Genomic DNA, 25,806 nt, shown 5'->3' on the forward strand with positions numbered 1-25,806 from the left:
CATACTGGATGACTTCTAGGTATGCTGGGCATGTGGTGGGCACTCAGTATTTGATGTGTGAGTAAATGATCTTATCAGAATAACAAGCAGATTGATTATAATTGTTTATACACCTGATACTCCATGAAATGGTATGTTCATTAAGGACAGGACCCCACTTTTTATCTTTGTATCACCAAGCTTTTTATCCATTGCATTTTCTGTACACTCATCGATGTCCAACTAAGGAAGGTTCTGTAAGACAAGTCTGCTTTTAAGTTGTCTTTTTTTAAAAGGGTAAATAAATTTGGTCTTTTTATCTTGAAGTCAAATTCCCCTATATTGAAGTCCTGTTAGAAGTGGATGTAATAAAGAAGTGGTAAATTAATGACTTCCTGAAAATTCATAATCACTCAATTTTACTAATTCAATTAATCGTATTGCCTAGGTAGTTCTGAGTCACATGAAGAGCACATAGGCTGTTTTTTTTTTTTAAGACAACGAAGTAGTAGCTGTTTACTTATATAAAGTACAAGGCAAAACTGTCTCTGCAAACTTCCCCACATCTCTACCCAAGGATAATCAATGTTAACAATTTGGCACATATCCTTCCAGAAGCACGAAGACTTTAACTTCTTTTTATATCTTTTTCCTGATTGACAATTCCACAGACCTCCACATTTTTACCATAGTTTGCAGTTTAACCACATCAGCATATGTGGCAGCACTTGGAGAACACCCTGCCCCAAATGGTGGCTTTGCTTTCCCTAAAGACTAAGGGTTCCCTCCAAGAATACGAGATCAGCACTGTCTTAGTTCACTCTGGCTGCTACAACAAAATACCATAAGCTGGGTAAACAACAGAAATCTATTTCCCACAGATCTGGCAGCTGGGAAGTCTAAGATCAAGGCTCCAGCAGGTTTATTGCATGGTGCGGGCTCATTTCCTGATTCGTAGATGGCATCTTCTCTCTGTGTCTTCATATGGTGGAAGCGGCAAGCTGGCTTTCTGGGGTTTTACAAGGGCACTAATCCCAGTCATGACCTAATTGCCTCCGAAAGGCCCCACCTCCTAATGCCATCATCTTGGGGATGAAGATTTCAACATATGAATTTTGGGGAGGATGCAAACATTCAGATCATAGCATGCATCTCCTCTTCATTTTTATCCCCCTGTTGCCTAAACGTCCTAATAAATGTATAACATGAAGCATAAGAAAGACCTCAAGAATAATGCACACACCAACCCATTCCATTAACCTTGCCTAGCACTGAGTGACTAGGCTTCGTCACAGTGACAAAGATTGATGCTTATCTATGCAATATTGCTAAAAGTCATAATGCCTGGCCCAGCCTCCCATGCATACAGGGTGAGCCTATGGCACAATGGTAACCAAGACACCAGGAGAAGTCATAGGATGGGGTTTCTGGAAATGGTCTTTTGAAGTAGGCCCCTCTGCCCTTTGCCTGGTCCCTGCCTGCAACATGGATGTGCTGGAGGAGGCAGCACAGGTGTTTGGAGGTCACCAGATGACAGGCATATGCTGGGGATGAAGGAGGGAAACACAGGGCAGCCTGGGGGTCTTGAGGAAACCTGTGGTGCTCCAAACCCCTCTTGGAGGACCCAGCTCCAGACTCTGCCTGGGGAGAAAAATGAAACCCACGGTTTCTCTGACTTTTGTTACTCACAGCCAGGTGCAGTTTCTAAATGATAAAATCCCACATTTGACAAATATGTATTGAGTGTCTGCTATTGTGCCAGGTGCTGGGGACACGGCAGTGAATGAAACAAAGTCCTCCCTTCATGGGGTTTACCTCCAAGAGTCTCCCTGAGGCTTCGCCAGCCCTTCCATCACTGTCGTCATGCTGTGTATACGTGCAAGATTCTCCCACAGGAGAGAAAGAATCTACCTCTGATCGCTTATGTCTCCCTAGCTACAGTCTAATTTCTCTCTTCCACCCTTCATTCCCACATTCTTTTAAGCATAGTCCGTAATCAGTGACTTCACTTCCTCACCAACACTTCCCTGGCTTCTACCCTCACCATCCTACTAAGATGCTTTATCAAGAACCCCCCAGTTTTCTCCTGGTTTTTAAGTCTAGTGGACATTTTTGCTTCTTGTATTTTCAAACCTCTCTGCTTTTCTCAACATTTTGATCATGTCCTTTTCCTCCCTGGTCGTCTGTGACACTGCTTTTGCCTGGTTTGCTTTGCTACTTCTCTGCCTTTCCCACCAGCAACTGTACCTCTACCTTCCCCTGAAGTGCTGAGGTTCCCAAGGGCCTCCCTTGCTCCTCTCACTCTGCACACTCCCCGGATAGTCTCATTTCCTTTATCATTTAATCTGCTACCTTTTTGTTGATGACTTCTAAATCTGTACCTCCAACCTAGACCTCTCCCCAGAGCTTCAGACTTACATATCCAACTGTCTGCTGGGCATCTGCCTAGATCCAGCGTGTTCTGAACTGACCACATCGTCTTACCCCAAACCAACTTCTGTGCCTGTGTGCCCTTTCTGTGGCTGGCACCACTTTCTGTCTGGGACCCATCATGGGTTCTTCCCATCCCATTGTCTAAATCTCCAGCCTGGAGATCCAGAAATTGGTGCTGGGAATGAGTGTGGGGTAGGATGAGCCCTTAGATAGCAGAGGGTAACCAAGGGACATCTGAAAGGCTACTTTAGGAGGAAGCTGGCATCAAAGACTGGAATCCAAAGAAGCTATGCAGACAAAAAGCAACCAGGTCCTAGATAATAGGAAGGCATCTAAGAGGGGGTAGGAGCCCAGAGGCACAACCTAAGGAACAGCCACACTCATGTCTCCAGGGAGGCTGCGCATAAGTAAATCAGTCACAAGCTCCCATCAGTTTTGATTATTTTCTCTTCTTTCTGAATTTGTTTCCTGTCTTCCTCACTTGAGTGTGGGTGGGAGATTGCCCATGGCCATGTGGACAATCTTCTCTCCATCCCCTCTCCTTTACTTCTGCAGGCCCCAGGCACACTCTGGTCTTGAAACTCCACCACACATCACATGAACACTTTGGAAAGCATCTGTGTCCATATCTATTCAGATCTCTGTCTATCTATAGGTCTAGGTCTATGTAGGTATAGTTTTCTAAAAGCTCCTAATTTTTACTTATGAAATTATTTGACTTTGAACAACTTATTTAATGATTTATCTGGTATGAATTTTAAGCAATCATTGTGAATACTTAGAAGTGTTTGTAAAGTGGAAAAACCTGAACTGCAAACAGGCTTTGGAATTTAAGATTTTATGAATATAGTAAATCCTCACTTAATTCATCCACAGGTTATTGGAAACTTCAACTAAGTGAAATGGCTATAATGAAACCAATTTTACCACAGGCTAATTGATATAAACCAGAATTAAGTTTCTTTCTTTTCTATTTTTTTTTTTTTTTGAGATGGAGTGTCACACTGTCGCCTAGGTGGGAGTGCAGTGGCACGATCTCTGCTCACTGCTCCGCCTCCCGGGTTCAAGTGATTCTCCTGCTTCAGCCACCCAAGTAGCTGGGACTACAGGTGCCCACCACATCTGGCTAATTTTTGTATTTTTTAGTAGAGACAGGGTTTTACCATGTTGGCCAGGCTGATCTTGAACTCCGGACCTCAAGTGATGCGTCTGCCTCGGCCTCCCAAAATGCTGGGATTATAGGTGTGAGCCACTGCACTTGGCCCAAAATTAAGTTTCTATAGCTTGTTTCTGGTTACAATAAATCACCAAACTTCAAAATAAAGACTAAAATACTTCTAATATTAAATATTGAAATACATGTGAACTATACATACATTTTCAAAGATTAATTAAAAAGTAAGATAATTATTCACCCAATTATTTCAGTTCAGAGTCATGGGTGGCTGGATTCCATCCCAGCAGCTCAGGGCACAAGGTAGGAATCTAACCTGGACAGGATGCCCTCCCATGGCAGGGGCACTCACTCCCACACCCACACTCACTCACGTTGGAATCATGCAGACACACCGTTTCCACTAATGGGCACATCTTGGGGATGTGGGGGAAACAGGAGTACCTGGAGCTAACCCAAGCAGACATGGGAAAGATGTGCAAACCCCACGCTGACAGTGGCCCTGGCCAGGAATCAGTTTTGTTTTCTCTCATCAACGGTATGATAAAACAGTGTTGAATGAAACTCAAGGGCTTGTTTTAACTAAATTTAACAATGAAGTTGAATAAAATTACCTTCCTTAAATATTCATTTAATATTCATTCATTATAATTCTAAAGTTTTTTCATTTTCTTTTGGAGCCAATTAAAAAAAAAAAAAAACTTCAAATCTCAAATAGTTTTGTAGGCTTCTGTAAAGCCTGCAGTCCTTAGCCACTAGTCCTATCACTTTGAGGACTAATGGATCAAAATGACCAACCCACCCTGTCTCACCCCATTCTCACTCTACCCCTACTGGCCAGAGTCAACTCATTTCAAACTACCTCACCTTCTCCAGAAAGCCTTCTTCCCCCATCACCATGCTCTTCCAGCTTTCCTTCCCTAGGGATTAGGTGCCCCTCCTAGCTATTCCTGTCTTTCTCAGTGCATTTATTTACCACTTTTATTTTGGTTTGCTGTTATTTTTTAATGTATCTATCTCTCCACTAGACTGTAAACTCATTAAGCATAGGAATAGGTTTTATTTTGTTTGTCTTTTATCTTCTGGGCATGGTACACAGTAGGTGCTCAATAATACGTGTTGTGGTAATTAATGAGTAAATAAACTATAACAGAGTAGGAAAGAGACTGTGTCTGTTGAGGTTTTAGGTTCCATGAGGGCTATATATAGCAGTCATCATGGTGACTTACAGGGAGGGAGCAGTCAGTTTCACCTGGGGACGGGGAAGTGACACTTGAGCTGAGGTTTGTAAAGAGACAAACTGATGACTGTGAGAGTGAGGACAGTGTCTGTCAGTAAAAGGGGAGGGCCCAGGAATTCCAGGTGGAGAAAGGAACGTGAAGAGAGTCAGCAAGAAAGAGTGACTAGAGAGACAGCCAGATAAGAGCAAGACTAGGAATTTGGGGGAAAGGGAACAGAGAAACAATAGCTTGAGATGTATTTTTGTGTGGTTAATACCCTTTTTTCCATCTTGTTAATAATTTAATAATATTCCTTCACCAAATAGTTACTAAGCTCCAGTTACGTGCCTGGTGCTACAGCTACAATTTCCTTCCCAGCTCTTTTTAGTGGGAATGGTAAATGATGAGGGTCCGGTCCTCACACCTTACATCTCTGAATACTGCCTAGTCCCGAGGGAGCCCTCCATATGTACCTGTTCACAGTTGCCTGACTGAGGTTGCCATAAATTATAAAATAACTTTCCCAGGGCTCTCCTCTTCTTTTGGTTCCCCCTTCCCTATTATCTGTTCAAATTCACATGAATTGTTTCTGTCAAAGAACCGGAAGAGACTGTAAGTTTAGTTGGAATGGAACTGAGAAACTATTTCTGGAAAAAAAAGTCACAGATCAAAATGGCAAACATCATCTCACACACACACACACACACACACACACACACACACACACACACACACAATTTCCTATGCCAAATAAGTTCTCTTAATTTTCCAAGTAACAAATAACTCTTCCATGTCACACATCACAACTGACAGCACTGCCAGCCGAAGTTCAAGGTCAGACTAGACCTCTAAGGAAGATAAGGCTGTGAAGGGATCTGCCTCTACTAACTGAGGTCAGTCTAAGGGGCCTTTAGGCCTTGATCCTGTGCTTAAGAAATTGATATAAGGTCCTAGGCAGCAGCCAAGATGATTCCGGCCCTAAGAGGTCTCTGCTTGGGTTGTCTGGGATCAAAACCATGTCTCTCCCTTGGGACTGTGTAATATTTTTTTCTTAAGGTAGAACAGACATGTTTATCACCTCCTAAAAAGTCTTGTTGGCATAGTATTTCTGATGCTTTGGATCAAATGTGTTCATCAAACAGATGTCACCCAACCGCACATGAAATGTCTTAAGCATTGAATGTTTTGTTGTTTTACTTTCTGTGATTCAAAGAAGACAATCTGGAAACAGTATTAATTTCTAAGTTGAGGATATACCTAACACAAGGGTAAATAAGTAGCCTCAGGTTCAATGTGTCTTTTTGGGGCAGACATGGCCTCTGCAGGCTATGGAAGGTTCTGAAGGGAGGGATGAGCTGCAGTCTTGAAGGCATGCAGACCAGAGGTGAAAAGCAGTTGAAGCAGTGGACAGAAGTGTGTGCTGCTGTGTTCAGTCCTGGGCTGAGCTACAGGAAACCCACATTTATCCGGGAGGGAAGTTGTTGCTAGGCAACTGGGAGAATGTGGATTTGAAGCATGTTTCTTGCAAACTGACAGTTGTTAAGCATCAAATGAAAAGGGAGGAAGCGGGCTTCAGTGGTGAGGGGGCAACCAGGAGGGGACACCCTGAGTGCTAGGAAATGCGTCATCAGTGGAGAATTCAGACTCAATCACTGGGGGGTTGGGGGACATGTCAAACGGTCTCTACCAGGAGGTCACAGAGACATGCAGTCTCCCAGAATGAGAGGGAACTGAGTGTCTCAACTAGAGGGTGGGCTCTTGGGTATGTGAACAGACAAGTTATGAGACTCTTTGGCTCAACAGAAACTAGGTCTTTTTCTGTCCGTCCCAGTATCTGTGGTTAATGAAAGCAAAACTGAGCTTGGAATCTAGAGGCAGCCAAAAGGTCACTCCATGAGACAGACCTTCTCCTAGTCTGGGGGGGTCTGAAGAAGGAGAAATGGGGAGCAAAGGGCCTCTCAAAAGAGGCTGTGCTTTTATAAGAGCAAAATGCTTTTTGTTCAAAGTGTTTTTCCATCTCTTCTCTAATGTGAATTTCATTACTATTTCATGAGCTGTGTAGGACAAGTCTTATTTTCTCGATTTTACGGATGGGAGGCTAAGATTTCCTTTAAATGGCAGCAAGTTAGGAGCCAACATAGAGCCAGGGCCCAGTCTCTCAGCCACTAAGAGATGCCTGTATGCCCCAGCAGCTGCCCAGGCCTGTGGTCCTCACGCCATTGGATCCTGTGCTCAGGGGCAGGGAGGATGCTGAAGGGGGCAGGGAGGATGCTGAATACTTCATAAACAGAGTTAAGGAAGAATCGGTGTATATTGAGACCGCTTACTAAAGAATGCATATTAGTGGTAGGTAGAAAAACATTTTAATGTAAAGGCTATTAACCTGGGGTCTGGCTTCAGCTGCTCCATGAGCCCCATCCTGTGTGTCCCTGTGAACTTAGTTTTCTTTAGGGAACAGGTCTAGAGCTGTAGTCAGATTCTCGAAGGTAATCCTAACCCATAAGAAAGGTTAAGAGCTACTGTTCTGTAGAGATAAAACATATCAGAAGCCAAAACCTTTCTTAAAACCAACTGACCCTGGAGAGAACCTGACGCCTCACACATTGGTGCACACATTGTAGGCGCCTAGTGCGTATTTACTGAACAAAGGCCAGGACCCCAGGACTCATTATCCTCAATGGCAGCCTTCCCAGGGGCCTGCTCTTGTCTTAAGTGACTTCAGTTTTGACTTCTCAGTATTTCTTTCTTTGTAAATCCATAAAAGAACATCTGATCTGTCATGAAAATAAGCCCTGGCCTACTGCCTGCCTGGAGCTGAAAAGACATCAAGGCAGGCAAGTGACAATCCAGCCAGTAGGCTCAATGTGCACGAAGGGGCCTCTCTTCTATTTCATTTTTATTTCTTCTTTGTTGAAATCCATTCACCCAGAGGATATTTTGATGGTAATAGGTAAAGATTTTTGTAGATGCAGGCAGAAAAAATACTAATGCTATAAATCAAATATATTTGCTGTGGCTTGAATATTTTCATAAAACCCCCCAAAAACAACAACAAAAACCTTCCTGATTTAGTTTTGTTTCCTCCCAACAGCCCTGCTGTTCCCTGGTACTGGCACTCAGGAATCACTCCTTTCTCTTCTCCCCTTCCCAAAACCCTTATGGAGAAGTGGGAGAAATTGGAAAGAATGAGGAAGTCATGACATCAAGTCATTAGTGGGACCTCACTGTAAAATCCTGTAGCTGTGGGGGCTTTCCCAGACACTTGACGTAGCAATATCCACCCGAAAGTTGAAATGCATAGGTGAAGTTTAACAATCTGCAACCAATGACCCAGGAGAGCAGCAACTGTGGCAACTCTCACTGGGTAGGGGGCGGTCCACCCACGCTTCTCCCCAGTGACTCAGGAATTCAGGGAGCCAGAGCCAAGAATGAAACAGGACATTGATGGGCGCATGTAGTCAGAACCCCAAGATTGGGCCCTTTTCTTCCTGGAACTCAACGTCCAGCCACCCCGTAGTCAAAGAGACACGGATAAAATGCAATCAGAAAAGTAAAAATGACAACAGAGCAGTGGTTGGGGGACAGAAAAGAAAGCTGAATCATGCCACACTGGAAGCATTTTCAAAGGAAAACCGTGAGCCCAAATGCCGAGGAGGCTGACTTTTCTCTATCAACAAGCATTTAGGAGGGGGAAGGGAGGGAGACTCAGACTTCCCAGCAGCATGGCAGGTCTTGGCACCCGCCTCGGTTCCCCTGCCGAACTTCCACAAATAAACATTCAAAGCAGAAGGGACAGATTTGCTTCTCAGCAAGATTTCAAAGCTGTGCACCAGAGTTGGAGAGAAAACAGGAAGGATGGTAGGGGGAAGAGGGGGAGGAGGAGGGGAAGGAGAAGGAGGGGCATGCATGCCTTGGGCCAAATCAGATGGGAAGCGTCCCAACCTCTCACCCGAAACTGACACACCATTTTTATGAGGTGCGAAACATTTCAGGTAGTGTTGGCACTAATAATACCTTGGGCCCAAGTCTGAGCTTCTGGGTTTCAAGCTGGGGGCGTTAAGCCTGCAAAGGCCGCAGGTGAAGACAAGCTCCTTCAGGTGAAACCAAGAGGGGCTATTAATAAATTTCCTTGGAGAAAATCCAGTCATTTGGCTCTTATTTCTCTCCCAGTCCACCTAGGTCACCAATCTGTGTGTGCGCACGCAAGTGAGCGTGTGCGATAGTGTGCAAATGAGCGTGTGAGTGTACGCGCGGGGATGGGTGGGATGGTGTGGGAGGGATGTAGTAAGGCCATGGGTACTGCCTTTGGATTGTTTGAAGATGACAACACTCACTTCTGATCTCCAAGGAACCGAGAGAAAACACAGCTGGTCTCAGTCGGTGCTAACCCCAGCGCCCCCCTCCGATTCTCTGGGCTCCACAGGTTCCCTTGTCTCGGAGGTTGCACTCACACCCCCAGCTCCTGACTCAAAGTGGGTAGATGCCGTCACGGTGGTTTACTGAGATTTTCCCTCTTTCTTTGTTAATGAGAACTCATTTGGCATTTAATAAAACCTTATTTATACACTGGCCTACGTGCGTATGAGAAACAGCCCAGAACAGAAGGCCCAGCATTCCCGCACTGCAGCTAAGCATGGCTGCGCGCCAACCAGCTGCAATAACAGCCGCGTCCCAGCGGGGCCCCTTCCCTGGCCCCGGAGCAACCCCTGCCTGCCTGATGCTCCTTTCAGAGGATCGGAGGGTCTGCCCTGAGCCTTTCTGGGCCTGCCTCAGGCTTGTTTTTCTAAAAACCCAAATAGGATGGGCCCAGGAGCAATAAAGGCAAAGTCCCATTTTAATGCCTGCAATTTCTTTCAGGTTTTTTTTTTTTTTTTGTAAATTTTTGTTTTTAGTGTAATCCATTTGTCAAATGGAAAAGTACATTTTAAAGGCACCAGAAGACTAGATGTGTCCTGCTTCGGTTGGATCTTTCTCCACCGAGACGGAAGCAGGAGTGAGAGGAGAGCAGGTAGGGGTGGTGCTCCGTGGTTAACTGAGGCCGACTACGGCAGAGCTTTCTCCTCTGGGCCATCTCCCGGTCCACTGCAGGCTCTGTCGCTCACCAGCTTTGTTAAGAGAACAGGAGAGAGAAAGCATCTCCACACCACGGTGGTCTCATGGGTGATCAAATGAAAGTTCTTTGGACCCTCAGAGGTGTGTGGGGTACTATTATTATGCGTGGTCTATAGAGACTGAGGTGGTAAATTAAACTCTAGGTCAGTGATTCTCAATCTTGGCCGGACATTGGACTTATCTGGGAAGCTTTTTAACACAGTGAAGTCAAGGCTGCACCCTAGGCCAGCTGACTCAGAATCTCTGGGAGTGGGGGCCAGGCATTTGTAGGACACATTGAATCACTGGGGAAGCTTCTAAAAGCTACCGCTCGGGGGGACAAATGCTGCTGGTGTTGGCCCTTTCTAGGCTGCACTGCTGTGAAATGTCCTGTTTGCTTGTCTCTGGTCTGGCTGTGAGTTCAGTGAGGGTGGAAGGTTCACATTTGGAGCCTTGGCCTCAGCACAGTGCCCGGCCCTTCACAGGTGCCTGATGCAGGTTTGAGTGCCTGCATACAGAAACCGAGAAAGCAAGCCCCCAGGACCCGTCTGAGGTCTGCAAGGGTGACAGGTCAAGGTAGCCCAGGGTTTGTGAATGCTAGCATTTGCCAAGGCAGCATGTGAAGACGTAAGGAAAGACTTGGTCTTTCTTGTCTGATAAAGAAACATTTGGAAGCCAGTGTCCTGAGTTTTGGTTCTAGTCTCCAATGGAAAGTTTTACCCAGGTGCCGATTTACCCTACTATCTCTGGCATTGACATCCCAGAATCAATGGTCATGTCCTGGGAGGTAAATTTACCTATACTGGTGGCCAAGGTGCTTCAAGAAGGGAAGAATGATGCTGCTCCCTTCATGGTGACGAGAGGATTGCACGAACCTGGGTACCCAGGCCCTGCCTGCAAAGCCCAGGTGCACAGACATTGCTCATTCTGCCCATTCTACAAAGCATGCGGGCCCTGGACACCTGAGAGGGAGCCTCTGGTGGCTCTGCAAACACCAGCACTGGACTCCTGGCTGTGCTGGTATTCAGCTGCCTGGAATAAGGGACCTTTGTTGCCTCACTCTTCTGTCTGATTCTGAAAACAAGTCAAGGAGCGTGTCTAAAATCAAGTTCTTTTTGAAACTTTGGATAGAGACATTTGGACTACATTGCTTTTTATTTTTCCTACAGTGTGGTGAGCCAAGAGACCTTTTCTGGGGTCCTGGGCTCTCACTGATGGTGGCATCCCTAGGCTCTGACCCTTCATACTCACTCTGGGGCCCCACCCTGACGAGCTGGGAAAATCGTAGAGTAACTTTCCACGGAAAGTCACACATTGAAGGGGATTAAGCGTGGACCGTGCCAGAAACTGCGGTGTCTTATTTCATGTTGCTTCATTTTTAAAAGCCTTCAGCTTGCTTTTTAAGACAAGCTGAAAGTGAGTTTCCTGGGACTTGAGAGAGCAGTCATGAAACAGACAAAACACAGTTCCTCAATCAAGTTCTTAGTGACTGACATTCCCTACAACACAGTTCTAGAAATTAAAATGTAGGCAAAAGAAAAAAAACATAATTCCATGCTAGAAATATTATATATGCCACCTTCTCTGAAGGATTCTAATTTTGAGTGTTTCTGAAAGTGTGGCCTACAATGGTCTTCATCAGAATCGCCTAAGGTAACAGGATAGATTCTGGGCCTGGCCTGGTTCTTCTGAATCACAGTGATTGGGGGTGGGGATTTAGCACTTGCATCTTTTACCAACTTCTCTGATGGGTTTTTTTGGTTTGTTTGTTTGTTTGTTTTTATTGAGACGGAGTCTTGCTCTGTCACCCAGGCTGGAGTGCAGTGGCGCAATCTCGGCTCACTGCAAGCTCCGCCTCCCGGGTTCACGCCATTCTCCGGCCTCAGCCTCCTCAGTAGCTGGGATTACAGGCGCCCGCCACCACACCTGGCTAATTTTTGTGTGTGTGTGTTTTTTAGTAGAGACGGGGTTTCACCGTGTTAGCCAGGATGGTCTCTATCTCCTGACCTCATGATCCGCCCGCCTCGGCCTCCCAAAGTGCTGGGATTACAGGCGTGAGCCACTGCGCCCGGCCCTCTGATGGTTTTTATGCACTTTGCAGTGTGAAAACCTCTGCTCTACACCTCCTTTATCTAATTCCTTCTCATCTTATCCTTCTAGCAAAGGAGGAGATATTTTCAGGTCCCAAGCAGTCTGTCTGGGATGCAGTTCTAGAACAAAGGGTTGAGCTAGATCAGGGCTTTCCAAATTTTTGAGACTATGAAACTTTCTCTGTCGTTTTTTCTCTCTAGAAACACCAACCATTGAGGTTGAGACCATTTCCAGAGGAAGAAGCATGGGGCCATCATTTATTAAAATTTATGAAATGTTTTGCGTATACTTTTCTTGTATAATTCCTACCACTCTGTAAAGTATTATATTTGTTTTATAGATGAGTACTGGGACCAGAAAAGGTTCAATATCTTACCATGATCACCTGGCTAGGAAATAGCAGGTCAGGGAGTCAAACCAGGCCTCCTCCTTCCTTTACCACTCTGTTAGAGGAGGTAAAGGGGATTATCCCCACATTTAGAGTGGACACAAACATGCCACAGCCACATACCTAATGGTGAACCTCATAGTGACTTCTGGGTCCCTGGGCCACTGTTCTAGAAATACTATCAGTTGTGATTTTTTGAGCCCTGGGAGCCTGGAGCTTTTGCAAGGATTGTCCAGAACACCAGGCTCACGCCCTCCCCAAGGTCAATTCGTGAGGCTCTGCTACCCCAGGAATCACCTTGCAATTGGCGAGCAGCCAAACCCCTCCCTTACCACACGGAAGAGCTTGAAGAAGTCCACGTTGGCATACAGAGTGTCTTCTATCCACTGTAGGGTGCCCTGGGAGAGGGAGCACAGGGCATAGCGCACCGTCTTTGCCCCGCGTCTCTGGCTGAAGATGATGAAGCGCTCCAGGAGGGCCTCGCTGCAGGCGATGTCCTTCAGCGCCAGGTCCGGGACTCCATGAGCGAACTGCAGGGAGAAGAGGCAACACTAGAAACTGCCCTGTGGTAGGAAAGACACCCACGTCCTAACCCACAGAACCTGGGAATACCTTGTGTTACATGGCGACAGGAATTAAGATCGCAGATGGGATTAAAGCCACTGATTAGCTGATTTTAAAATAAGGAGATTATTTTGGCTTTTCTAGGTGGGCCCCTGTGTAATCACAAGGGTCCCTTAAATGTAGAAGAGGGAGGCAGAAGAAACAGAGTCATGTGATGTGAGAAAGACTTGATAAGCCCCCACTGGCCTTGGAGATGGAAGCAGACCACTAGCCAAAGAATGTGGCGTGTCTCTGGAGGCTGAAGGAGGCAGGAAAATGGATTTTTCTCTAGAACTCCGCAGTAAGGAATGCAGTCCTGCTGATGCCCTAACTTTCAGACTTGTGACCTCCAGAACTGTAAGATAATGCATCTGTGTTGTTTGAAGCCACTAAGTTTGTGGTAATTTATGACAGCAGCAACAGGAAACCAATACAATCCCCATACCTCATCTTATCAGAGTGCCATTTACAATTCAAGGGATCCCCTTCTTACAGCATGATGTTACAGTACCATCAAGGCTTCCTCTCTGAAGGTGGGGTTGAGAAGTAGCTAGAACAAATTTGCTCTTGGATTTAGCAAACAAAAGCACCAGATGCCCAGTCGAATCTGAATTTCAGATAAATGAATACTTTTTAGTACAAATATGTCCCAAATAGGGACCGAATAGAACACAATTATTTGAAAAAATTATTTGTTGTTTATCTGAAGTTCGAATTTAACTAGACACCCTGCATCTATCTTGTCTGCAGGCCCTAAGCCCTGCAGAGTGCACATTCTGCAGCTCCTAGGTAGCTCAAGGATAGTGGTTCTTGAAGTACAACCCTCGTGATGGCCTCTCGAGGATCAGGTGGCAGGGGAGAGGCCTGGACCTTGGCCAGGGACCTGTGGCCACCCAGCACCTTAACTGGCTCCTAGAGTCCTGGACTCCCATAGCATTGGACAGACACTGAGTACCGTGGGCAAATTCGTGAGATTCCCGGGGCACCACAGTCTCCCATGACATCTAACGACGTGGCTCTCTGGGCTGGAGGGCAGAACAGGCCTGAGCTCTGCCACCTCCTACACTGTCCAGACTACACATGGCAGCCTGGTCCCCACACGAGGCACAGGTTACAGCTGACCATGAGTCGGTGTGGACACTTTCGATCTCAGGGACCCATAAAACATAGTGAAACCAGAGCACTGAAGAGGGTGTGTTAAGAATAGCCACTAAAAGCAGCTAGTATTTACTGAGAGTTTACTATGTGTCAGGCGCCCTTCCAAGTGTTCACATATATTATTTCTTTTAACTTCAACTGCCATGCTGGTAGGCACTTTTACTATTTCCATTTTACAAATGAGGAAACGAGAGGCACAGAGTGGTTAATTAACTTGCCTGAAGTCACATAGCTAAGTGTGTGGCCTTGTGAGATTTGAACCCAGAGCTTAACCATCACCTGTTAACTCTCCAGTGAGTAGGGAAGAGGGAGAAGGCAGGACAAAGAAGGGTGGGTTTATAAATTATTTCACTGAGGAGGCAACATCTGAGCTGGGCCTTGAAGCATGTCCAGGAGTTTACTGGGCTGGGGGTGAGCCAGAGAACTGTGCCCCTGTCATCTTCTAATTCCCTAGATGGAGAGAGGGAATGGTGAGGTTCCTTCTGAGCTGTGCTAAGACCCCAGGCAGAAAGGACCAGGAGGGGTATCCAGTCCTGATGGTAAAGGACACAAATCCATGTTCAATGAGCATGAGTGACAACACAGAGGCGAGCTCCCATGTTGGACAGCGCCCAGAGAGAACGTTGCCATCGTGATGGACAGTTCTGGGAACAGTGCTGATAAGGAGCCCCGGAACTGGATGGAGGTGGAGATACAGATCAGGAGCTAGAAGACAGGTGAGCCCACAAGGCAAAGCATCCTGGGAAGTGGGCAGGGAGGGCCGGGTTGGCTGGAACGTGCCTCTGCGAAGCGCAGATGGCTCAGCGTTTGCTAATCAGCAGAGCATCAGCTCATCAGAGCCAGCAACATGAAATAAAGGCACAACCTGGTGACCCCGGCCTCCATTCTCCAACATGAAAGGCCTTGGCACTGATGCCAGAAGCACAGTACTAGAGATCTAAATGTCACATTAGTAAGGAACTGGAAAGAAATTTCCCCGAAATTCCTGTCCTTATCTTCATCTCCCTTTTATTACCAACTGGAAGTCATCAAGGCATTGTCAGGACTTGAGTTTTACGAGCTGAAGAGAAAGCAAAGGGGAAAATGAGCAATCGGTGCCGACAGCACCCCCTCTGTGGGGGTGGGAGAGGAAGCTAAACAGGGCCTGGCCGGAGCCGCACCACCCAGGGCCTGGGCACTGCAGGCGCCAAGCTCACCCTGCCTCCAGGCTGACCCTAGGTTCCCCTTGTCTAGTTTCGGTGAAAACCTCAGGGTCTGAGAAGCCAGAAAAGCAGGTATGAGCTCCTTCATTGTGCAGGGAACCAGTGTGAGAACCTGCTTCCAGGAGCTGGTGCTGACCAGGTGGGGTGGGGTCCCTCACTCCTCTGGACTCAGACAGCACCCTGTGCAGACCTTGATCTCAGGGTTAACACAGGCTCTGAAGTTCTGTTTATGTCTCGTTCTCTCCTGGAGTCTGGAGGAGGATCAGACCCAGCCAGGAGGGAGTCGGGAGGGTGTCTGGGATATCAGCTGCTGCAGATCTAGCATTCTCGCTGTGTTCATCACACTGAAGAAGCTGGGCGGGGAGCCCAGAAGGCCCAGAGGACAGCTGCAGCTCTCACACCTGAGCCTGCGGAATCACCTGGAGGGCTTGTGAAGCACAGATTGCTAGGCCTTATCCCAGGGCTTTGGACCCAGTTCACCTGGAGTGGGCCCTGATAATTTGCATTCCTAACAAGCTCCCAGGCATCGCTGATGCTGCTGGTCTCTGGGCTTTGAGAGCCACAGGACTGAAGTAAGAAACACTGGATTAGGATTGAGAGGACCTGGATTCCATCTGGCTCTGACAATTTCTAGCCCTGTAACTGTGCACAAATCACCCCATCACCAGACGCGCAAGCCTCCTTCTCTGACCCATCTCAGGATTGTTGTGAGGAGTAAGGGAGCTAAGGGATGTGCAAGTCGTGAGTTAGTGGTAAGAATGCTCTGCATAAATAGAGGAGATTATTTAAAGGGGTTAGATAAATTGGGGGCGTATACACAGGTCAGAAATGTGCCAGGGGATAGAAGAAGGAGTTTGCCTGGTGCTGAGAAGGAAGTGGTCCAGGAAAGCAGAAGTGGGCTCTTCTGCAGCATCTCAGGTTCTGTAGCCTCGGGACGCCACCCCAGCACTTGCCAGCACTGTGCTGGCAGCTTCCAAGCCCGGAACTCCCCTCTCACTTACTGTGTGGCTGACAGACAACTCTGCTCAAATACCACCTCCTCAGGAAGGCCTTCCTGAGCATCCCCCTTAAACCTGCCCCTCCGTCCCTCTCTAACCCTCGACTCTACCGGATTTTCCTTGCAGCACCCATCACAGCCAGAAGTCACACAGCGGAGTCTCTGCTTACCTGAGCATCGCCTGTGGCCCCACTGGAATGGAAGCTCCCTGGCCTGGGGTTTTGCCTGTCTGGTTCACACTGTGTTCTAGTACCTACAACTGTCCCTAAATATTTGAGTAATAAATGAATAGATTTCTGTTTCCTCATCTATAAAGAGAAGGTTGTGCCCCATGATCTCTAAGGTTCCTTCCAGTTATAAAAACCTGAGATGTTTTAAGGTCACCAGGATGTGTACAGCTTCGAATCCTATGTTGAAAATGATCACGATCTCAAGTGATCCCCCGGTTTTTTTCTAAATACAAGGCATTAAGTGATGGATTCTGAATGTGAACACAAGGAAGAAAGAAGAAAAAAGCCAATATATTTCTTGCCTTTCTCAGGCTGGGTGCTTCCCTCCCCTCCAGGGACCACTGGCCAGTGACATCCCCCTACCTGCTCTGGACGGACTTGAGAGTTGATCAGAAGGTAGACCACTGAGTCAGACAGGCCGATGTTTTTAATGAGAAATAGTGTCAGTGTTTCTTCATCTTTCAAGATATCCCTTATTCGTATTCCTCTTCCTACATATGAATAAGAGAAAGAACAGGGTGTTGAAGGGGAAATGGGTCAAAAAAAGGAAAACAGCCAGAGTCGATTGGAAACACTTGTAACTCAACTCTCAGAGGAAGGTTCTGTTCTTGGGGTCTCTGGGAGCCCCTAGAGGTGAGGCTCTTGCCAGTGGGCTGCCCCCAACACATTGACTGCTGAAGCAGCTGGGCCCAATTTAGTAAGAAGGTGGAAAAAGTTAGCCAGGGCTGGATGGGGGTGTCAGATGCTTTGTGGGGTTGGTCTAGGACAGTGCTTCTCATTGAGGTGGGGCTGGGGAACTGAAACAGGGGAATTTCATCCTCCTGGAAATATTTGGCAAGATCTAAAGACATTTCTGGGTGTCACAACTGGGGAGGTGCTGGTGGGTAGAGGCCAGAGATGCTGCTAAACATCCTGCAAGGCCCAAGACACTCCTCCCTCCCCCACACAAAGGATTATCTAGCCCCAAGTGTCAGTGATGCTGAGGCTGAGAAACTCTGGTCTAGGATTGGAGGAGACACGTGCTCTTCCCACACCGCAGCTGTCACAGGGTAGAGGACCCCTCTGGGTGTTTCTATCATCTCAGCTTGGGCTGAGATGCTCAGGGCACTGACATGGACTAAGAGAAATGAGTTGGGGCCATTAAGGGCAGGAAAAGCTCCAGGTAGAAAGAGGAGAGCCAGGCACATGCCGGGGCTTGCCTGATGAGCCCTAGTCAAGCTCCCTCCAGCTCCTCTCAACACCTGTGGGAAGCAGGGTTTCTTTATAAGGAGGCATAAAGAACACCTAACAGTTAAGGTGACCTTGGGGCAAGTGATTGAGCCTGTCCCCGTGTCTGCATTTTCCACATCTACCTCATAGGATTGTTGATGCGGGGTAAGGAATGTGAAGTGCTTAGCTCCCAGGCCTCAAAACAGCACTCAATAAATGCTTATTATGATCGAATTAATATAATTCTTACCCCTCCTGGGAGATTCACACAAGCACCCTCCTCCTCGGCTGGCTTCCAGGGCCAATGCTTGGCCTCAACCCTGCTAGTGCTATAGTTCATGAGGCTCTGGCCAGAGAAGAGCCTTATGGGCCTGGATGTCTACGAAGGGACTTCAACACAAAGGGAAAGCACTGGGGTGCGTGAAAATGCCAATCTCTTCACCCCGAGTGCTTCAGGGGCATGGGTGACTGTTTATCTCCCAGTTCTTCTCTAACTAGCTTTAACCATCACATGTCCCCATTCTTTCCTGGTCCCAATTCCACGGCATCCCATCCTCTTCCTCTCCAAATTCTCCCCTCCCCCAGTGGCCAAGAGGCCTGCCCCTGTGTGCTGGACAGCCACCCTTCTCATCCCCAGGTTGTGCCTTTCCCTGAACAGCACCATATCCGGATTTATGTTGCAGCTAGTTTCCTCTGGAAGGGTCTTGCGCCAACCCCACAGGCCTGTCCATGCAGCTGGGGCAGGGGAAGCCGGTCTTGAAGTTCGACCACACAGTGGCACAGTGGCTTCTCTCACAGTAATGGGTTCCCTGAGAGTGGTGCCCACTGTCACTCCCCTTTGCATAGGAAAGATCCAAGGACTTTGGGGAAAGCTGGACACAGGGCCCGAAGGGAGGAGGAGGGCTCTGAGAAGGGCTGCTCCCTTATATTCTAGTCTTCCCTCTTCAAAAACATAAATCCGGCTGTCTTCCAAACCCAGCCCTCCTGCTTTTCCTCCTGTCCCTGGGTGCCAGCTCCATTGTTCTTTTCCCAATTACCCCTTCATACACAGCCTTGTACACTCTCACTCCACCAACACCATCCCCAACACACGCACACACACACGCATGCACACACATGCACACACACATGCACACATGCGCACACATGCACACGCACGCATATGCAGACATACACACATGGGAGATCTCTTGAGAGTTGGGGGCTATGGCTCCTGCTTTTATTATACTCCTCATTGTACCTAGCAATGCTGGGTGCACAGATGCAAGCCCTTGAAGTCACCTCTCTCTGACACCCAGCATTAAAGACTGACATCCAATCAGAGTCTCAATAAATGTCTGTTGAATGACATGAGGCATTCAGTAAATAACTGTTGTCTTGACCTGACAGTCAGGACTCCATTTGACTGTTTATCTCTTCGTTATTCTTTAACTCACTCACCTGACCTTACATACAAATATCTTGCTGGGGAGAAGGGGCAAAACAAGAAAAGCTGGGAGTGATGTTGCCCAGGCTTGGCACACAAGACCACCCAGGAGACAGGGCTGCTGTGGCTCTGGGGGGGAAGGGGGAGTGTGCTGGCTTCTGGTACACCTGAGGAGGGCGGGGGCCCAGGTGAAGAGGAGGCCGATACCAGACAGAAGCTTCCCTAGACTCCTGAGGGAGAAATGTGAACTGGGAGCCTGAGGAAAGAAAAATAAATTTCGTTTAAAATGTGGTTCTTCTTGTTCCCTTCCCTGGGAAGATTAGAGGCTTGGGGGTGGGGCTGCTGAGGCCCCAGGAGCTGAGGGTGGGGGTGGGAGGGAAGCCAGGAGAATGTAGGAGGCTCCCGGGAAGAAGGTGTTTTAAAGATGATTGAGAGACCACAGAGCTTGCTTCGAGGGAGAGGGAAGGGGGCTCCATGCCTGGTCTTTTACCATTAATCCTCCCTGCTGAGAATGCAGTACTGCAGGTTTGCCATGAAAGAAAACCTCTGCCTGGGTCAACCAGCGGCATACCTTCCCAGGTGGCTGTGCAGAAGCACGCACCAGCACCAGCCCCGCCACCCCCACCCGCTCGCTTTCAAAGGTGGGCTCTTCTGCCACATTGGCCTGAGGAGTCCGTGCTCACAGTGAGCAGCGCCCCGGTGAATCTCAACAGACTGAAACAGCCTGTGTTCCTGACAGTGCCCTTCAGGCCCTGGCCTGGGATTTCCTCAAAGACCGTGTCCCTTACTTGGGGATGGACCCCTGTTCCCTCTCACAGCCTCTAAGGCCAGGGATCTTGCAGAGCCCCCATTCCTAGGGGGCCGTGGCCAACCTTTCCTGAGCCCTTGTCCCCAGATTTGCTCTGTTAGGGACTTCTCACAGCCCGAAGCCTGCAGAAGGAACCGCCTGCATACCAATTCAAAATCAGTCCTGCTCTGGGGTTAAGAAGTAGTGATTTTGGTTCTCATATCCACATTGTAAAAGCCACAGAGAAACTGTGGTTTGAAATTACTTCCTTCACACTTCCTCCCAGCAGGACTCAATCTGATGATCAGGCACTTAAGTGAAATGTCTGCCTCATCATCAAACCCACTGGATGCATGAGGTATGTCATCCCGCCAGGAGCTGGACAGCCCACGTCTGCATCTGTTTGTTTAAATTAGGAAAAAAACACCTTCTGGTTGGTACACAGGGGAAGGGGGATTTCTTACTATTAAAATGGTAATTGTACTCATACCATATAAGGTTCCTCAAACTTGGGCTCACTAAAATAAACTTCTACCCAGGGCAACAAAGAATGGAGTGTTTGTAATGCAGTTTGTAGAAGTTACTACATAAAATCTATGGTTTACTAGTTTGAAACAATGAGAACGTAATTCAGCATCTTCATACACCAATCTGGTCATACGCCTGTCCTTTCTCACTTGGATGGGGAGAGAGGGCTTCAGAAGGTGGCCAGATGGGAGGAGGATCAGATTCTCCTCGGAGAAGTTTCCCCTGTTGACTCTCCTGTGCTCCTGAATCCCCTCCTTCCCTCCACTGGGCCCCACACGCGCTGTGGTCATTTTCTGCTCACTCATCTCTCACCTTCTGCCCTGTGAGCCCTCTGAGGGCTGGCATTTGCCTGACTCATCTCTCCACCCCCAGAGACTAGCCCAGTGCCTGGCTCACAGGAGGCACTGAAGGTCGACTGAATGTTGAAGGAGCTGCACGCATGCACGGGAAGGTGCCCCCGGGGCTGATTTCAACCATTCTCCCACATTTCTTGTTTGGAACCTGCAGCAGAAGCTGTTCTATCAATACAGCCTCTCCCATTCCCCTGGTAGACCCCTTGGTGACCCCTTTCTCATCCCTGTTAACCTCTAAGGTCATCCTTAGAGTCAACTCCCTAATCCTAGGAGCACACATCTCCCAGAAGCCCCTAACAGCTGCTTTCGTGGCCTCTGAGCCCCGTTTCCTGGGCAATCTCCCCCAGAGCAGCCTTTCCTCAGAGGGCACGCTCCACACCCAAAGCTGCAGCAACCCCTGGATTTTGGGGGGCTTTACTTCCTCACGACCACTCTTTTCCTCTGCTCTTGCAAGTGGGATCCAGTGGCCATGTCCAGTCCCTCTAGCCATCCACAGAGGAGCCTACTACACACGTGACAGCACACAACACCCACTCACACTTTGTAAAGGCACATTGGTGTTATTACTTTCGGATTGTTTCTTGTTCTTCTCCTGGGGAGGAGAGACACAGGAGAGGGAGCCTCTTCATCCTTTCTCTTCACTCTTCCTGACTCCAGGTGGCTCCCACCCTGGTGCCCAGCTCCTGCCATCTTCCTGCACAACCGTGGTGTCCGTGTGGGGCCAACATCATCACCTCCCATTTCCTCCTTCCCCTCACCATGCACCTGCACCTTTGCCCCACTTCACCATGGCCGCATCTGGGGGCCAGTCATCACCCACCCTACCTTCGAAATCCTGAATTCACATATTTCACTTTCTGACCACAGCCATTAACCTTTTCATCTTGTTCATTTTCTCAATCACTTAAACAGGGTCATGGCACCCACTGAGACTTCTATTCCCTTGCCTCTTCATTTCCCCCAGTCCATTTCCGTGCTCATCTGCCTTCTCATCCTTCCTCGTGCAGCCTGGACTTGATGCATGTAGTCCAGTCCCTGCCTTCAGCCCGCTGCCTGTTGACCTTCTGTGGTGCCTCCATACACACCCCCAGCCCTGCATCACCCACTCTCCACTTGCTCTGCCTCGGGGCCTGGGTGCTAAATATTACTGGGAGAAATAGTACAATTATGCATATTTATGTCATGATAATACATGATCTCTGACCTCCCTGGCTCCTTAATGATAGTTGGCCTTGCTGCTTCATGTTCCTGGTTAGCTCTCGCTCTAGAACTCTGTGAGAGTTGCTCTATATCTTTACGAAACTCTGTAAACTCGTCTCCCCTGCTTCTAGCCCTTGACCTAGCCTCATACTTCCCATAGTGCCATCTCTCTTAGCATTCTTTCTGTCTCTAGACTTAACGTGGATGAGACCTTTCCTGCCTTCCTTCCCAACTTCCTACCTTCCAGGCTTCTGTGGAGGAAGAGGCATCTTCACCAAGGTGATGTTCAAGCCGCCTCCAGACCCCATCCCTTCCTGCCTCCGCTAGTATATTTTTCACCAACTCTCCCTGTTCTTTCCTATATCTTCAGTCTCTCCATAGGTGAGGGAAATGATGCTTGAGAGCACTGCAGTCATGCTTACCTGCAATTCTCTCCGGGTGAGTCCGGAGGGTGTCCATGAATTGGGACAAGATGTGTAGCTCTGTCCAAATACGGCCAAGGTGCTGGCTCTCTGGTGCATTCATGAGGAGTTCTTGAAAATCTCGATATACCCTTGCCAAGCTGTAAGGACAAAGCCTCATTAATAAGGAAATAGCTGTTATTTTTATAACAGTAATAATATCTCATGCTATTTTTTTTTTTTATCTCGCTCTGTCACCCAGGCTGGAGTGCAGTGGCGTGATCTCGGCTCACTGCAAGCTCTGCCCCCCGGGTTCACGCTATTCTCCTGCCTCAGCCTCCCGAGTAGCTGGGACTACAGGCGCCCGCCACCACACCCAGCTAATTTTTTATATTTTTAGTAGAGACGGGGCTTCATCGTGTTAGCCAGGATGGTCTCGATCTCCTGACCTCGTGATCCACCCGCCTCAGCCTCCCAAAGTGCTGGGATTACAGGCATGAGCCACCGTGCTTGGCCATCTCATGCTATATTTAAAGATACTATGTGTCTGGCCTAGCTACTACATTGAGTATCCTTACAATACTGCCAAGGCAGGAGAAAGAGATAATTTTACTTCCTTGTACATATAGGCTAACTGACAAGGATGGTGAGCGATCTATTCAGTCTCCCAGTTTTGGCAGGGTCTGCTCGCCTCTCGGTCCCATGCTCTGTGTGTCTCTTGCCCAGAGAAGCCTTAAACAGGGTGACATTGGTGGATATCACTGGAGGGTTTATCCAGTTTTTACCCAATTCTCTGAGACCTGCCCTTCCACCCATTCACGCAGGTAGGCTCTGACAGCCATGCTTCATCCACAAGGACCTCCCTGCACACACACATTGGCACGCATGCACATGCACGCCTCTGCCAAGGCTGATGGGACAGGGAGAATAAAGCTGGGTCAACCCGATTTGTTCCCAGGAATTTGGATGGTGTTCAGAGATGAGCTTCTGATTGCCCAGGCCGAGGTATTGTGAATTGCATGAACAATGGCAGCCCAGGCATTGAGGAGCAGGGGAGACTGGTCCATGGAGAGAGGTGAATGGAGTAGATACAGAGGCCAGGGCTGGCAGGCCCAGATGGAAGAGAGTTGAGGAAGCAGCTCCTGACAGCTCTCCAGGTCTTGGCCTGCCTCTCCTGAGCCCCGCCTTGCTGCCCTTGGCTCTGTGAGAATGTCTAGTATCCAAATCATAGATTTCCTTCTGGGGTTTAAGATTGCTTGAATGGGTTTCCGTGCCTTGCAAGCAAAAGAACCTTGAATAAGCCAATATTTCACTCATAATGTGAGTGCAAAACATGAAACCCAACTTTCCGGGTTCAAATGCCAAGTACAGCTAGAGTCTGGAGCCCCCTTCTCCAACTCCCACCCCTCAGTTTTCCGCAATAACATCTATAGACACTGCCAGGGCCGTTCCCACCAAAGCTCCATGCAGCCTCCACTGAGCTGTCTTCAGGCCTCCCTGATCCCACCATGTGACCCCACACGATCTCTCTGGATGGGCAGGTGTTTCTTAAGCTGAAAGTGCAGTTGTAAACTAAAACTGCAAGGCAGTGCTTGCAGCAATATGAGTCCTGCTAAATGCCACTTCCTTGACTTTGCTAGGAAGACAGATGTTTCCTCTTCTATCATCTGGTAATCCAGGGGTCAGCAAACATAAAAATTACAGGCTTACAGATCATACAGTCTCTATCACAACTACTCAACTCTGCCATTGTAGGGCACATGCAGCCATAGTTTGTTCACAGTGGGGAAGGCCACCTCCAATCATTAGGTTGACCTATCAAACTTTTTTTCTTTTTAGTCTAAAAGCAGGCTTCTCCTGGAAGAATCATACTGAGCTCCCCCAAGGAAAAAACTAAAGTAACCAGGTATCTCAGTTTTCACCTAGCCTGGTGTTTATACAGGTCGGGTAAAGCCTGCTCCCCAACAGGCCTTTGCTGGTGGCCTTCAGGTATGGGCTGCACAAGGTGCTGCTTAAGGTCAGCACAGTGGGTGAGGGATGGCCCTGTCCACACCCTAAGCCTCTGTCTCTAGAATATGCTCCCATGATGTTCTCCCAATGCTCTGAAAGGGAATTCCGAAGGCAGACCCTCTTCCTGTGGGATTCGACTTGAATTTTGACCCTAGACCTGAGGCTACTAACCTGGCATCTACAATTCCCTGAAATCAGATGTACAGTGTAATGTTTGGTATGTGGCCATTTTTCTTGGAAGAGGGGTCATTGGTTTTCATCAGCTTTTCAGAATAGCCTGCAGGCCCACAGTGAAGAGCCACTGCACCCGAGCCATATTCCGAGATCTCACCACTCCAGGGGGCCGATGGCAATTATAACAGAGGATTTGGAAATTGTATTTTTCTCCCAAGAAGTAAACTTGACTTTGTAAACCTGACTTCATTTACCTTCCCAATGCTCCCTGACATTTTTCCTAGCCCTTAGATGTCCAAGAAAGCTTTTAAAGGAAGAGAGATCTGTCCAGGTTGATCAGGGTGAGGGAACTGAGTTTTTCTCCTACAATGATTCACTCCACCCAAGCAGGTCAATGACCAGAAGGCAGTGGACACATCTCTGCAGCGGGCTGCCATCAGACTCCAGGTCACATTCTGGGGATATAAGGACCAAGAAATTTTGTGCACGTGGCCTTAGCTTGGAGATTTCTCCCCAAGTGCCCTGACAGTTAACAGAATGTTCCAGAGAGGAAACCTGCTCTGCTCCTAAGAGGTTAGGGGCTCAGCAAAGCCACAAGAACACTCAGTGCTCCATGCTCCGTGCACGCACGTGTGCATTTCAGCACGTGAAGGGGTGTGCAACTTCCTCCCCTGCATGGTAGGGATCTCAACACTTACATGGAGTTGTTATAGTTTGACACAATTCCAGGAGATTCTCCTGGGGTGGGGCTTTGAAAACAGGGATTGTTCACATTGCAGAAGATCCCCTGGAGCCACGGCAGCATTCCTGCTGAGGGCATCGCCTTGTTGGGGAAATGGCCTTTAAAACAGAAAATGAGGACAAGACGGGATTAGTCATGGAGACCAAGCAGGATGCAGACCTAGGAGTTGGCCTTTTTGGGAAGGGGCCCGGGCCCCTCTGATGTCCTCCTTCATTCTCAGCATTTAAGAAGCAGGAGCATCTCATGTGTGCCAGTCCCTGTGCTGGGTGCTAGAGACATGGCCTCTTCTCTCAAGCTCCCGGTGTAGTGGGGAGACAGACGGATGTTGTAATAGGCATGGGTGGAAATGTGAAGGGGAAGCAAGGGGGGACACGTCATTTTGTGCCGAGAGGGGCATAGGAGTGTTAGTT

General features: G+C 48.1%; 1 protein-coding gene across 2 annotated transcripts in view, besides 4 other annotated features; it reads right to left on the bottom strand.

The window, feature by feature from the left end:
- ABCA4 (ATP binding cassette subfamily A member 4) overlaps positions 1-25,806 on the bottom strand; it is a 128,315-nt gene that overhangs the window by 93,252 nt on the left and 9,257 nt on the right. For both annotated transcript variants that reach the window (NM_001425324.1, NM_000350.3), the window contains exons 3-6: positions 25,353-25,494; positions 22,492-22,631; positions 16,930-17,057; positions 12,709-12,906 (exon numbers count right to left, since the gene is read on the bottom strand). In NM_001425324.1, the coding sequence (NP_001412253.1) occupies positions 12,709-12,906; positions 16,930-17,057; positions 22,492-22,631; positions 25,353-25,494 (608 nt within the window). The remainder of the gene's footprint in view (positions 1-12,708; positions 12,907-16,929; positions 17,058-22,491; positions 22,632-25,352; positions 25,495-25,806) is intronic.
- Positions 7,185-7,737: an enhancer, noted in NCBI's record as "OCT4-NANOG hESC enhancer chr1:94558826-94559378 (GRCh37/hg19 assembly coordinates)". NCBI's record gives its function as "activates a minimal SCP1, AML or CMV promoter by ChIP-STARR-seq in primed H9 embryonic stem cells {active_cell/tissue: H9 hESC(primed)}" and the evidence as "EXISTENCE:reporter gene assay evidence [ECO:0000049][PMID:30033119]".
- Positions 15,306-15,806: an enhancer, noted in NCBI's record as "H3K4me1 hESC enhancer chr1:94566947-94567447 (GRCh37/hg19 assembly coordinates)". NCBI's record gives its function as "activates a minimal SCP1, AML or CMV promoter by ChIP-STARR-seq in primed H9 embryonic stem cells {active_cell/tissue: H9 hESC(primed)}" and the evidence as "EXISTENCE:reporter gene assay evidence [ECO:0000049][PMID:30033119]".
- Positions 20,418-20,919: an enhancer, noted in NCBI's record as "H3K4me1 hESC enhancer chr1:94572059-94572560 (GRCh37/hg19 assembly coordinates)". NCBI's record gives its function as "activates a minimal SCP1, AML or CMV promoter by ChIP-STARR-seq in primed H9 embryonic stem cells {active_cell/tissue: H9 hESC(primed)}" and the evidence as "EXISTENCE:reporter gene assay evidence [ECO:0000049][PMID:30033119]".
- Positions 20,920-21,419: an enhancer, noted in NCBI's record as "H3K4me1 hESC enhancer chr1:94572561-94573060 (GRCh37/hg19 assembly coordinates)". NCBI's record gives its function as "activates a minimal SCP1, AML or CMV promoter by ChIP-STARR-seq in primed H9 embryonic stem cells {active_cell/tissue: H9 hESC(primed)}" and the evidence as "EXISTENCE:reporter gene assay evidence [ECO:0000049][PMID:30033119]".

This window comes from Homo sapiens, chromosome 1, assembly GCF_000001405.40.
Source record: "Homo sapiens chromosome 1, GRCh38.p14 Primary Assembly".
Classification (NCBI taxonomy): Eukaryota; Metazoa; Chordata; class Mammalia; order Primates; family Hominidae; genus Homo; species Homo sapiens.